Below are 13,620 nucleotides of genomic sequence, written 5' to 3'. Positions count from 1 at the left end.
TCTTCTCAAATATGGCTGAAAAGATTATATAACCAAATAGAGATCATTGAACACTGTGATTGTTTCTGTTTAACTTTGACAGCATAGTTATACATATAGTAAGAATTTCTATAAAGAGGAAAATAAGTATGTACTATTAAAGCACGTAAGACCTCAGACAGCTACGTGTCACCACTAAAATAGCACAATTTGAGGAAGACTGAGAGGCACAAACACTACCGTGAGAAGCGCCTAGAGAGAAGAGGTTAAGAAAGGAGGATCATTCCAGGTGGCTGCTACTTGGCTCATGCAAACCACTTAAATCTATGGACTTTAATGTTTTTATCTGTAAAAGCTATGAATTCTAAGATTCATGTAGGGAGTAAACAACAATTTACATAGAAAAGGGAGTTTACAGCATTTTAAACAAACTGTTTTACTGCAACTTGACTTTGAAAAGAAGAAGAGCTTCCATGAAAAGACATACGTATTTTCATATCTGAAGTGGGCATCTTCTCCCAATGCTCCATCTCAGCTTAATAAGTATCACCCAAAAAGATCGAACATGCCCTAAAAGAAATAACCCCTAACCTGAACGCTTACTTATAAAAGCATTATTGAAAGACTCATTTTTGTGTACCTCTCACAGACAATGAGAAACCACAAGAGACTATACATGACTGCCAAAAAAAGAAATGAAAAGAGATTTTTTAAAAAGGGATCAAACAAAGCAGTTAGGGTTACAGAGGTAAAGTATACAGACATTGCTTAAAATATTGACTAGTTTATGAATTATGAGAGTAGGTTCTTTAAAGGACATCTTAACTCATACCAGAGCAGAAGCCCTACACGCTTCATTCACCACTGGGCTCTCCAAAGATAGGCCAGAGCCACTGAAGAAATAAAATTCTCTCCTGCTCCCTCTCTCTTATGTACAACGATTCCTCTACATTTAAAGTTTGAATTTTTGCATGTTATTTTACATTTAAGCAAAAAACAAAGGTATAAAAATCAATTAATGCAGAACACATAAAACCACACAAATTCATAGTGAGAAGCATTTTCTGCTGACCCTCTCAAAAAGCATAAGCAACTGACACAGTATTGCAGAGCTAATAATCACTGTAAAGACTAAGCTACTAAGCAGTTAGTTCAATGTTCTCTAAAGCTAATAATACACTGAGAGTCTTGACTAGCCTTTATTTCCTTTAACACATCAAAAGCCCCCTCGTCCCAATTATACCGAATAAGCTCATCCTAATTTATTGACCGTAAATCTTTACAGAAAATTATTGTTCATACCTTTTTCTCTTCTAGCTCTGCTTTTAAAGATCCCAGTTCTTCCTGACATTTCTGTAGAGGAGAAATTTTTTGAAGCATCTCTTCCACTTGGTGATGCAGATTACTATTCTCTCTAAAGACAATGAATTAACATTATTACAGAAAAGGATCTATAACGAAGTATTAAATATATGTGCTTATAATTTCAGATTTTATTGCTAACTTGGAACAAAAAAAAGGATGAAAAAGTCTTTTTAAATGCACTTCTCTCTACACCAACATGATCTTCACATTGCCTTTATTTCTTAGGCATAGTATTTTTTTTTTCTTTTCTTTCTTTTTGTTAGTCAGGGTCTCACTCTGTCTCCTGGGCTGGAATATAATGGCTGGAGTATAGTGGCACCACCACGGCTCACTGCAGCCTCAATCTCCCAGGCTCAAGTGATCTTCCTGCCTCAGCCTCTCAAGCAGCTGGGACTACAGGTATGTGCCACCACACCTGGCTAATTTAAAAAAAGTTTTTACCATTAAGTAGTACTATTTACTATTTGAGTGCCACCACAGCTGGCTAATTAAAAAAAATTTTAATAGTATAAAAATTTTACTATTAAATAGTACTATTTGCTATTAAATAGTACTATTACTATTATAATTTGGCCTCCCAAAGTGGTGGGATTATGGGCATGAGCCATTGCGGCCAGCCTAGTAATCTATTTCTGATAAAAGTCTACCAAAAAGCTCTGTGAGAAACAAGTAGATTCTTAATTTGCTGAAGAATACTTTACAGTAAAATCACTCAAACAGCCTGGCTGAGAATCCGGCTGTTCCAATCTTGAGTCCTGAGCTCATACCCATTTATTCAATTTAAGTGACAGGCAATTTTATGGCTTAGTTTATAACCACGTTTCGCCTTCATCTGGGTGATGAATCCAATCAGAGAATGAAACATTGCCAAAATTTTATGTAGGCCTATTTTCAACTGTTTAAAGTAACAGAAGATAAACCACCACATTAAAGTGTGAACCATGTAAACAACAGTTAATTTGACAACAATAAGCTTCACTTCAATGGCAATGCAGTCAGTACAAGTTACTCAAAAGTGAAACACCCAGTTGTAATTCAAGACCTTAGTAACAAATTCATTTGAAAAATTTAATAGTAGGAGAACTTGAGTCCTATTTTATTATGAGCATCAAAGCAGCATTCTATATTATGAGTAATCCTATGTACATTTTGCTCAAAGCTGCTTAAAAATCTGCTCCAATAAATGTCTATCTCAGATCAACTACTCATATAGGTGGTATCATAAACTATGAAACAGGTTGGCTCACCTTCTTGCAAACTGCAGCTGTAAAACTTATTAAAGAAAACTCTGAGAATTTTATCTTCTGATACTTCTCTGGAGATAAAACTCACTTTACAATTATCTTTAATAATTTGTGTTCAACATATATACAGGCAAGATCATAAATACTAGAAAACTATATTCAAAATGCAATCTAAAACACAGTGGTAAGTCTTTTTACTGAGTTATTTCCATTTACCATAATAACATGTACCAAGTCAAAATATCTGTTTCTCTAAATAGAGTTCTGTGAATAAATGTATGATCAGAATTAAAAGAAAGACAAAGCAATATGCAACTAATAGAAAATACCTTGATTTCTCTACATAGCGGAATCCCCAAACAACCTGTCCTTCATTTTTCAAATAGTGCAGAGAATAATTCCAGCAAACAAAAGTTATGTACTTACAAAAACCATATATAAGCATGTTTTGTAGAAAACAGATCATAAAATCTACAAAACTCTCATTTTTTACAATTTATGTAATTTGATAACCTTATTTTACCATCTCATACTGCTAGTAAAATATTCTAAGATAGCAAAAAACAATTCCTTTATGTTTCATCTCCTAGGAATTCCTGTATTTTTATCACAATATAGGACATGTACGTTCATAAAAACGTGTGCATCCTCCATTAGAATGTAAGTTTCTGAAGGTTTCTGAAGAACAAGAACTATATTTTATTCATCCTAAATTAATCTTTGCAAAATAGGAAAGTTCAAAAAATACCTGATGAAATAAAATACATTTCTTGCCATTTAGAAAGAGGTGATAATAAAGTGGTCAGAATTACACAAAAAAGAGCTGAAATACTGAATTATCATAGTGCAGTTATGGAAGAAATAACTTTCCCATCTTGAAAAAAATGGGAAAATGCACTGCTACTTTAGTAGCAAAAGGAATCAAATTATATTTTTAAAAGCCATGTTAAATCTGTGACATCGGCACTTCAAGTTGCAGAGCAAACAACTGCATATTTGAGGTACAACAAATGCATACTTGGAGCAAATGTGAAACATATTTTTTTAAAGGTATGTATCTATCTGTAGCTGACAATGAAGCCAAATATCATATTACAGAATGAACTTCTGAAATCCAGGAATAATCAAAAGTGTTATCCGTTAATAAAGGATTCTGATAATTTTTGTTTTAAAATTTTTCTGGCCAACCTTTAGAAAAGTAAAACAATTATTTCTCTGCTAGGTTACATGTATAAGTTAACTCAAAGAGTGTGCATATTTTTTCCAAGAATGATACAATGAACACATACTCTCCTAATACTGGAACTGCCCATCTATTTCCCTATTTAGCCTTCTAAAAGTTGTGATAATTGTTTCCATACACCTTTCACTAACAATTGAAGATATCATTTCTGCCATAATATGCACGTATAGTTAAATGGACTGATGGTTTTAACAGATGAGGCACATAAGAAGATTTCCAATGACCTTTATTTTTGAATGTAAAAATTCAGATAGTAAAAATAAATCTAAAGGATATCTCTTAATTTTACGATTTTCACAGAAATTAGAAATGATGATATGGTCTGGCTGTGTCCCCACCCAAAATCTCATCTTGAATTGTAAACCAAGTTGTGATTCCCAGGTGCTGGGGTGGAACCTTGTGGGAGGTGATCAGATCACGGGGGCAGTCCCCCAGTGCTGTTCTCCTGATAATGAGTGAGTTCCCACGAGATCTGATGGTTTTATAAGGGGCTTTTCCCCGCTTCGCTCTGCACTTCTCTCTCCTGCCACCATGTGAAGGATGTGTTTGCTTCCCCTTCTGCCATGATTATAAGTTTCCTGGGGCCTCCCAGCCATGCAGAACTCTGAGTCAATTAAACCTCTTTCCTTTATACATTACCCAGTCTCGGGTAGTCCTTTATAGCAGCGTGAGAATCAACTAGTACAGATGGTACCAACACAAATAAATAACTGATGATGACATGTAAGTTCAGGTATGACATAAATCATATTGAAGCAGGCCTCAAGTTATTGCCAAAGCTGAACAGCTGAATCTGTCCTGACATCGAACATGAAGCTAAATTTCAGGGACTCCCTAAAGGAGTATACGTATGTTTACTTTTATGAGAGAAACTTTAAGTTTTTACAGGAGAGATTTAAATCAAGGTATTACCACAGCAAGACATGGAAGGATCAATTATACACATCTTTTTCCCACTGCTAAAAAAATAGCTGACCAGACACTAACTCCACAACCGAGCTCATTAAATGGCTACCGAACAAGTGGTGACTGTAAGGCCAAGAATTGTCTTCTGACTGCCCACAGCGTTCATGAATATACAGCAACGCTATTTCTATGATTTTGGAGATATATATATACACACACATTTCCCTGTAAATCACAAAAATAATTAATGAAAGTCAATTGCCCAACATTTTGAATTTCCCATACTGTACTTCTTGCAGATTCAAAAATAACATTCAGCAAGTATCACATTCAGTTTCACATTATTCGTAAACCTAAAAAACATGCCACATCCTCAGTACAAATTAAGAGAAACCCACCCACTAAAAAGCTTATGAGACGTTAAGAAAATCACAATCAACAAGAAAAGTAATCTCATTTTTAAAACTCATCATTAAACATGGATTAAGAATAAAAGGACTGTCTGTTTACTGTGCTTGTGAGACATGCTCCCTACTGAAGCCTGTTAAGTACTATCTTCCAGAAGGCCTATGAGGAACAATTCTCACATCTCTTTCAGGAATTAAACATAAGTTAGTTCCAAAACTCAACAGAAAAAGCCAGTAAAAGGATATCATCACATTTCTTCTGATATTCTGTTAACAAATTACTGCAAAAAAGAAAAGAAAAATTAGGTTACTTTTTAATTTAGAAAATATACTATGTTAAAATTATGTTTCAATCCATGCAAGGCACCCTCTAGACTTCCTAGATTTCCTGAAACAAATGCATGCTAAATTAATGACTATATCACCTTAAATTTCTCAAAAGCATCACGTTGATATACAAGCCTTTTATTTAGAAACCTTTAGATCTGAGTAGTATCTTGGCTCATACATTCATGAGACTATTACAAAGCTGAAAACAAAAAAAATAGGAAATCTCACACCATGGCTATAAAATACTGTTAGGAGGTTTGAGGTCCAGCAGTAAAGCTAAGAAGGCTTTGAAGACAGAAAACAGATTTTTTAAGAAGTCCAGTTTGGTAAAAACAACTTCCTACTAACCCACGAGCTTTGTTTTAAAGGCCTGTGAACCTGTAACAAAAGGTTCAAGTCCCAAAGCTCACGGGGAATTATAATCAGTACCATGCAGGCCTCCAAAGGAGAAACTCTAGTGTTCATTCCAGCCCTGGGGGCCTAAAAGCACCGCCTGCTTCAGCCAGTTTGTCAGGTTTACAAAGTTCTGCCAAACGACATGCAAATATACTTACTCTGTATTGATAATTTTTTGTTTCAAGGTAATTAATGCTTCAACATATTCATTCAAATTCTGAAAGAAAAAAAGCCACAGTCAGCTTTTTTATCAATTACTTTAAATATAATTATTGTCTGTAACATTATTTATCATATCTAAGAATTTTAATAATTATATAAACATAGAAATGTTAATGCATTACTTATATTGTGTAGAGCACAATCTGAGCCTATGGTGCCTCTCTCCAAACCTGTTTATCTGAATGATAGTACTCCTTTAACAGCAAGGTAGTTAGTTGTAAATATGCTTTTACTGTGTGCAATTAGCCACAGAGCTCAATAAATATTAACTATTTTTAGTTTGCTATTAATCATCAATCTTTACCCTGCATTGTTTCTGAGAGGATTTAAGGCTACCCCAAAAGACACATAAATCATAAAAAATAACAACAAAAAAGAAACCATGGGGGAGATGAATAGAAATATTAAAATGGACTAAGATTAAGTGAAAAAATATATAAGGATCTAGGCCGGGTGCGGTGACTCATGCCTATAATCCCAGCACTTTGGGAGGCTGAGGCGGATTACCTGAGGTCAGGAGTTCAAGACCAGCCTGACCAACATGGTGAAACCCTGTCTCTACTAAAAATACAAAATTTAGCCAGGTGTGTTGGTGGGCACCTGTAATCCTAGCTACTCAGGAGGCTGAGGCAGGAGAATCACTTGAACCTGAGAGGCGGAGGTTGCAGTGAGCCGAGATCGTGCCATTGCACTCCAGTGACAGTGAGATTCCATCTCGAAAAAAAAAACAAAAACAAAACAAAAAAAAAAAAAAACACAAATTTGGCTCTAAATTACCGCTATCAACCCAAAAGGAAAAACATCCTTAGTTACACTGTTGAAATGTTCCTAAGATTTTAAAATGAGCTAATTTTTTCTTTTCATTAACTTCTTTCCTTTAATGTCTCCTTTTTCCATCACTAAATACTTCAGAAATAAGGACTTACTTTTAAACATAACCACAATAGCCCTTCACAAGTAATAATTACACCAAGTAATAATTTGAAATTATCCAAACTATGTTCAATTTTCACTGATTATCCCAATAGTTTTCCAGATAATCCAAATGATTTTGATAGTTACAGTAATATTTCCCTTTATGATAATGTCTGCCTTTTCTTCTCAGTTATGTTACATATCTGTTAAAACATCTACACATTAAAATAAAGTCAAATGCATAGTTTCTCTTGTAATCTCACCATCTGTCAAAAATCACTCAGCGTGTTTTTAACTTTCAACTTTCAGAACTGCCACCACATATATAAAATATATTTTTGGATGTACTCCATCTATCAAATTGTTGTTGAGGGAGGTTTAGGTCCTTTTCCAGTCTTTACAGACAGCATGCCATGAATTTCCTTGCCCATTCCTTTGTCAAACAGTTCTATTTTTCCTGAGAATAAAGCCCAAATACTGGTACTGCTGGACCAGACTTATGCATTTCAGAGGTTTACACTGAAAAAGGTAAAGGATATAAACTGTCAATTCACAGATTAAGAATTTGGAATAGTCAATAGACATTTTTTAAAAAACGTATTCCACCTTTTTCATATCAGGAAATGCAAAACTAAAATAACAAAAATTTACTTTTCATCCACTAGGCTAGACTAAAATAAACATATTGGTAAGGATGTAAGGAAAATACAATTCATACTATGGGTGGTAGTATTTGAAGAGCATTTTGGCAGCATATAATGAAATCAAAACACACACAGTGATAATTTTTTCTATTTTTCCTCTACGCATTCCTGAAGGATGTTTTCTACATCCTGGTTAGCTTTTACACCCTAGCTTAATTTGTTTTTACCACTAGCATGAGTACTATCTTTATGTTGCTGTTTTTGCTATATTACATTTCCTAATTGGTTCTTAAGGGTATGCAAAAATATTACTAATTTTTGTTTGTTGATTACAGTAAGACCAGCTCATTTTACAACAATGTCACTTATAAACATACACACAAAAGATCTAAATAAAATATATGCAAAGTAAATCCAGCAGTGAATAATTTATCTGCAGATTCTCTTGGGTGTGTTATGTGAATAGTTGTAACATTCACTGATAATTTTATCCTACCTTTACTCATGCCTACATTTCATTTGCCCTCCTTCCTGAACTGACTAAGGCTTCAGCACAATATTGAATAGTAAGGGTAATAACAGGTGTCTTTGTCTTAAAAGTTGGAATTAGTTAATTAAATTTGCTCTGTTCCAGGTTATTGGTTGATATCCTTTAATCATGTTATGAAACTTCTACACACAGTCTGCTAAAAGATTTTCATGTATAGGTATCAATCTTCATCAAATAAATTTCTGTATTTAGTTTGAATATGTATTTTTCTCCCTTTATTTATTAATTTCAGTGAACTACAATAGATTTTCTAATGATAAAGCAGCCTTACATTCCTGGGGATAAAAGTAATTGAACACTATGTTAACATTATTTAAACACACTGAGGATTCAATTCCCCAATATCCTACTTAGGTTTTTTTTTTTCATCTATGTTCATAAGTGATATGCCTATACCATTTTTGCACTAAAATTACTAGGATGCCTTTCCCTTGCTAAAAACTGTAAGGAGGGAGTAAACTAGGAACACCTCTCATGCATGAATAAGACTTTGCTAGGTACAGAATTGTTGGGTCACCATCTGTTAAGCGTTAAATCATGACCTGTCCCACAAAAGACATGCTTAAGTCCTAACTCCCAGTATTTTAGAATGACCTTATTTAGAAATAGGGTCTTTACAGATATGATCAGGTTAAGATGAGGTCATACTGGACTAGAGTGGGCCCTAATCCAGATTTCTGGGCAGAGAGGGTGGATGCATGCATTTGCTTTTATTTCCCTCCCTAAAACCAGCTAAAAATACAGTCAAAAACTTTTTTTTCAAAAGGCAAAACCAACAAGGATGACAAGAGGATAAAAGACAAACGGAAACTGGAAAGCAGACTCAAGAGTACTGATTTAGCACCCAAGAAAGCCAGCAGTGGGGAAAAGTGAGAACCAGCTCCATTTATACTGCAAAACTTCAACAAGCTTGAGAATCAGTAACATGGATTCTTTTGAGAAGGTGAAGGGGAATGGAACTAAAACAAGCACTAGTTGCAAACTTTCTCATAAGCATTTAATCCCAATCCCCAACCATCCACCATGCCTCAGAGAAATCACTCCTCCCCCATCCAGCAGAAAGAGGTTTGCTTTTTGAAGGTCTCTGTAACACCAGGGACCCTTGGGGCAGGTGTACTATGTCAAAAGCATAAAGATTAAATAAACCTAAGCACAGTGGTCTAAGACTGGCTGCCTGTCTCTCTTCATTAGGCTTCCAAACAGTGTAGTCCTTCTGTCTTCCAGGAAGAAGAAGGGAAATACCTTCTTACAGATAATATCTAAAGGTAATGACACTAGACATTCTTCAATCAATAAATGGCCCAACCAGACTGTCCTGCCTTGACACTCAGGGTCCAGAAGCCCCACATCCTCAGTGTATCTGCTACTCGCTCTTTGCAAGGACTTCCAAACATGAGACAGACCTGCAGTGTGAAAGAGGCTAAAACAAGCAAAAGCAACCTGAAGTAAACAAAAACTGAAAAGAAAACTTAAAAAATGTTTATTAATAGGATGAGATAAATAATATTATATTTGCGAAACAAGTTATTTTTGAAAGGAATATTCAGAGCTCTTAAAATTGAAAAAACTTAAAAATTAAAAATGAACACTCTAGAATAACTAAAATTAAAAGACAGACAATAGCAAGTGTTGATGATGATGTGGAGAAACTGAATACATTCCTCATACATTGCTGGTGGGAATATAAAATGGGGCAGCTGCTGAGCAAACTAGTTTTGCAGTTCCTCAAAATGTTAAATAGTTACCCAACGATCCAACAGTCCCATTCCTAGGTATGAACTGAAAATAGAGTCCACGGCAAACTTACACACTGATATTTATAGCAGCACTATTTCAAACTAGCCAAAAAGTGAACATAAATTAAATGTCCATCAAAGGATGAACTGATTCACAAAATGTCACATATCCATACAACAGGAATTATTTGACAATGAAAATGAACGAATGATACATGCTACAACATGGACCAACCTTGAAACATTATGCTAAGTGAAAAAAGCCAGTTACAAAAGTCCACGTGTATTCTAGAGTCCATTCATATGAATTTTCCTTAACAGAGCCAAAAGTAATCCAGTGGCTGCCAGAGACTGGAGGAAGAGTACAGAGACAGGAAATGACTAGTAACTAGTATAGGGTTTCTTTGGGGAAGGTGGAGGATGAAAATGTTTTAGGACTATGTAGTGGTGATGTCTGCACAACTCTGTGAATTGAACTGAATTGTATACAATAAAAGGCAGAATTTTATATGTAAATTATATTTCAATAATGCTGTTATAGCTAACAAAGACTCAAAATATTTGACCATAAAGTTAAAAAAAAAGGATGCAGAAAATAAAAACCCAGACACGAGAAAGAAGGAAAATAAATAAAAACAAATAGGGTATCAACACAAGAGGCCCCACATACCCAACAATAAGAGTTCCACATAAAGAATAAGGCGAAGATGGAGACCTAATTAAAAAAAAAATACTGGTATTCAAGAAAAGTTCCCAGAAGCAAATCTAGAAATTTCTAATTGAAAGGGCCTGGAATATGGACTTCAATAGGATTCAAACCATGAAACAAGAACACAAAATTTCAGACCACTGGAGACAAAGCAAAGACCCTACCAGAATCCCAAGAGCAAAATAAAAGGCATCAAGTGATACACAAAGAATCGGGGATAGAATGGCTTCAGACTTCAACACCAACACGAAAAACTAGACCTAGAAAGCAAGCCTTCGAAATGGCAAAGGGCAAGTAATTCCAAGATAAAATTCTACACAATAAATATTTTCAAATCTGCAAAGTCTCTACAAACTTACTTCCCAGACATTCTTTCTCAGGGGGTACTGAAAGATGTGAACATGGTCCTTCGGAATGGAGATGGGGGTGAAGAGAGCCCTCAGAATGCTGCTGCGTACCAGATGACAGTAGGCCCCAAAGCTCGAAGGGAGAAGAAAATGAAAGACTGAAAACATTCGAGTATTTATACCAAACTGGCAGAGACTTGCAAGGGAATGCAGTTATTTTTGGACATGCATTTAAACTATTATTTTTTCTAAAATAAAAGTGATTCTTCCTCTTTTTTCTCCCATTCTCTTTTGAGTTCTTTGGTACCCTAGCTCATCTTTCCCATGCTTCTAGATGTCATTTTGAGTTGCCAAGTACTTAGGCAGAGACCCCGAAGAAACCTCAGGCTCCAGAGTCACAGAGTCAGATTCACATTCCTATTCCACCCCCACTTTCTGCTAAGTGACCTTGGGCAAATTTATTTAACCTCTCCCCTGCCTCGAAACTATTTCATCAGTTTTACAGATGGAGAAACTGAAGCAAAAAGAGTTTAAATAACTGGCATACTATCAGGATTAAATAAGATGCACCATATAAAGTGTTCAATCCAGTCCCTGGCATAGCAGTAAGCACTCACTAATATCTTCAGGATGAAAAATTGAATTAAAGATACAATCATTATCAGGGAAAACAAGAAACCATGCAGAAAACACCACAGCTTAGCTTCAAATAACAGTCCTAATAATGTCAACTTCAAATACTGATCTAACTGAAATCATAACTATACTGAACAAATGGAGAAAGAAGAGATATGCTTAGGCATGGTGGAGTATGGGGCAGTAAGAGAGCTGAATCCTCACCTCCCAAAGTCAGCAATGAGTCTACTATTTAACAACAGGAAAATTCATTGTAAAATACACAGTGGAAGCAATTAAAAATGGTTCTGTCTTGGAAAGCAGGGATGAGTGGGGCTGGGGGCTGCTGACTTGTTGTCTTAACAACTCTTGTATATCTGTCTAGCTGCCTTTTTATATTTAACTGTGATTAAACAAAAAACAAGATCACAAAACAGTATAATGAGAAAACAAAAGATTTCTCAGTTATCCGATAGCATTCTAGTCTCTGACTAACATTATTTCCCAAGGCCCTGCTGCATATCAGCTCAAATCTGGTCAGATACTGTATTATCTGTGGTCAGATATTGTAATACTCTGATAAAACATTTTTTTTTCCTCCAATCAGATTCAGATGTCATTTATGTTGGCTGAAACCAAGGCCTCTAAATAATGAACCTCGCAATTGTGAAAGTGAGCAGGGTGTGCCTGGGTGAAGGGCGATCAGGCTCCTCTGACCCACATTCATTCCTGCACAGGTCCAGCTGCTATGGAAGAAGTGAGGTTCAAGGTGTTCTTCCTCTCCAGGAGATACTAAGGGTTGTTTCCTCGATTATCGCTTTCTCTTAGCAGCCCTGCTCTCCTCTTCTAGAGCTTCTATTATATAGTCTATTGGAAAGTTCAGGCTTATTTTCAATTCTCTCCTCTTTTCTCTCATAACTACCATCTTTTCTTTGCCTTCTGGGTGATTTCTTAAGCTATACTAATTCACTAACACAATTCCCAGAGCAGCCCACTCTCTTACTCAAGACTTTTTGTTTCCCATTTACTTCTCCCCTCTACCAGACAATTTTAACTTTATCCATACAATACCCTCCTGAATTGTCACTGTGAATGCTGATGCCCATGCTTCCTTCCTTTCTTGGGGAAGTAGAATCACACCTGGCTGAGCACACAGGGCAAGGAGCAAGCTAGCAGGCATACCAGCTGAGAGGACATGACAGAAGACATGGCCAGTGTAGCCAGGAAAATGGTTATGCTAAGGTAGTAAGTATATAGATAATATAGCAAACAAATAAATACAGATGATAATGGGATATGTAGTCTGCTCAAACAAATCAGTAAATATGTAAGAGAAGACAGTTTCTTAACTTCAGCACTACTGACATCTTGGGCTAGAAGGAAGACGGGATGTTCGGCAGAATCCCTGGCCTCTACCAGCTGGCTGTAGCACTCCCCAAGCTCCAAGGTGTGTGTGCAGCAAACAATTAACCCAGCAGGCCTGAGAACACGATCCTTAGCAAGACCTGCTTGCAAGGTGGGCCATTGGCTGTCACCTGAGGACTCGGATTTCTGGAGAGTTCCTTCCCATCATTCCCCAAACTGATGAAAATGGCTCATCATGTATGGTTTATGCTCAACACCTGCTTTCCTTGTGGGGGTCTGGAATCTTGGTGCTTGCTAGGCAGAGGGTGCCTACAAGACCAGCCCCCAGTAAAAAAAACTCAGGCACTAGGTCCCTAATGAGATTCCCCGGCAGATAACACTTCACAAGTACTGTTACAACACGATACTGGAGCAATTAGGCATGTGCTGTGTGACTCTACTGGGAAACACTCTCAGAAGCTTGTGCCTGATTTCCCCAGACTTTGCCCCATATGCCTTTTCCCTTTACTGACTTCACTCTGTATGCTTTCCCTGTAAGAAACCACAGCCATGAGTATAACTATATGCTAAGTCCTATGAGTACTGAACATGAGCATGGTCTTAGGGACTCCAACACTGACAATCAAAAATGTCTTCAGAAGTAGTAA

The 13,620-nt window shown here is 36.2% G+C and overlaps 1 protein-coding gene across 4 annotated transcripts in view; it reads right to left on the bottom strand.

Annotated features, from left to right (window-relative positions):
• The window catches only part of ICE1 (interactor of little elongation complex ELL subunit 1), a 67,544-nt gene that overhangs the window by 47,716 nt on the left and 6,208 nt on the right, over positions 1 to 13,620 (bottom strand). For all 4 annotated transcript variants that reach the window (NM_015325.3, XM_011513999.3, XM_047417046.1 and 1 more), the window contains exons 2-5: positions 6,029 to 6,087; positions 5,391 to 5,425; positions 2,592 to 2,610; positions 1,282 to 1,393 (exon numbers count right to left, since the gene is read on the bottom strand). In NM_015325.3, the coding sequence (NP_056140.1) occupies positions 1,282 to 1,393; positions 2,592 to 2,610; positions 5,391 to 5,425; positions 6,029 to 6,087 (225 nt within the window). The remainder of the gene's footprint in view (positions 1 to 1,281; positions 1,394 to 2,591; positions 2,611 to 5,390; positions 5,426 to 6,028; positions 6,088 to 13,620) is intronic.

This window comes from Homo sapiens, chromosome 5, assembly GCF_000001405.40.
Source record: "Homo sapiens chromosome 5, GRCh38.p14 Primary Assembly".
Lineage (NCBI taxonomy): Eukaryota > Metazoa > Chordata > Mammalia > Primates > Hominidae > Homo > Homo sapiens.
This window is presented reverse-complemented; position numbering and strand designations above follow the sequence as displayed.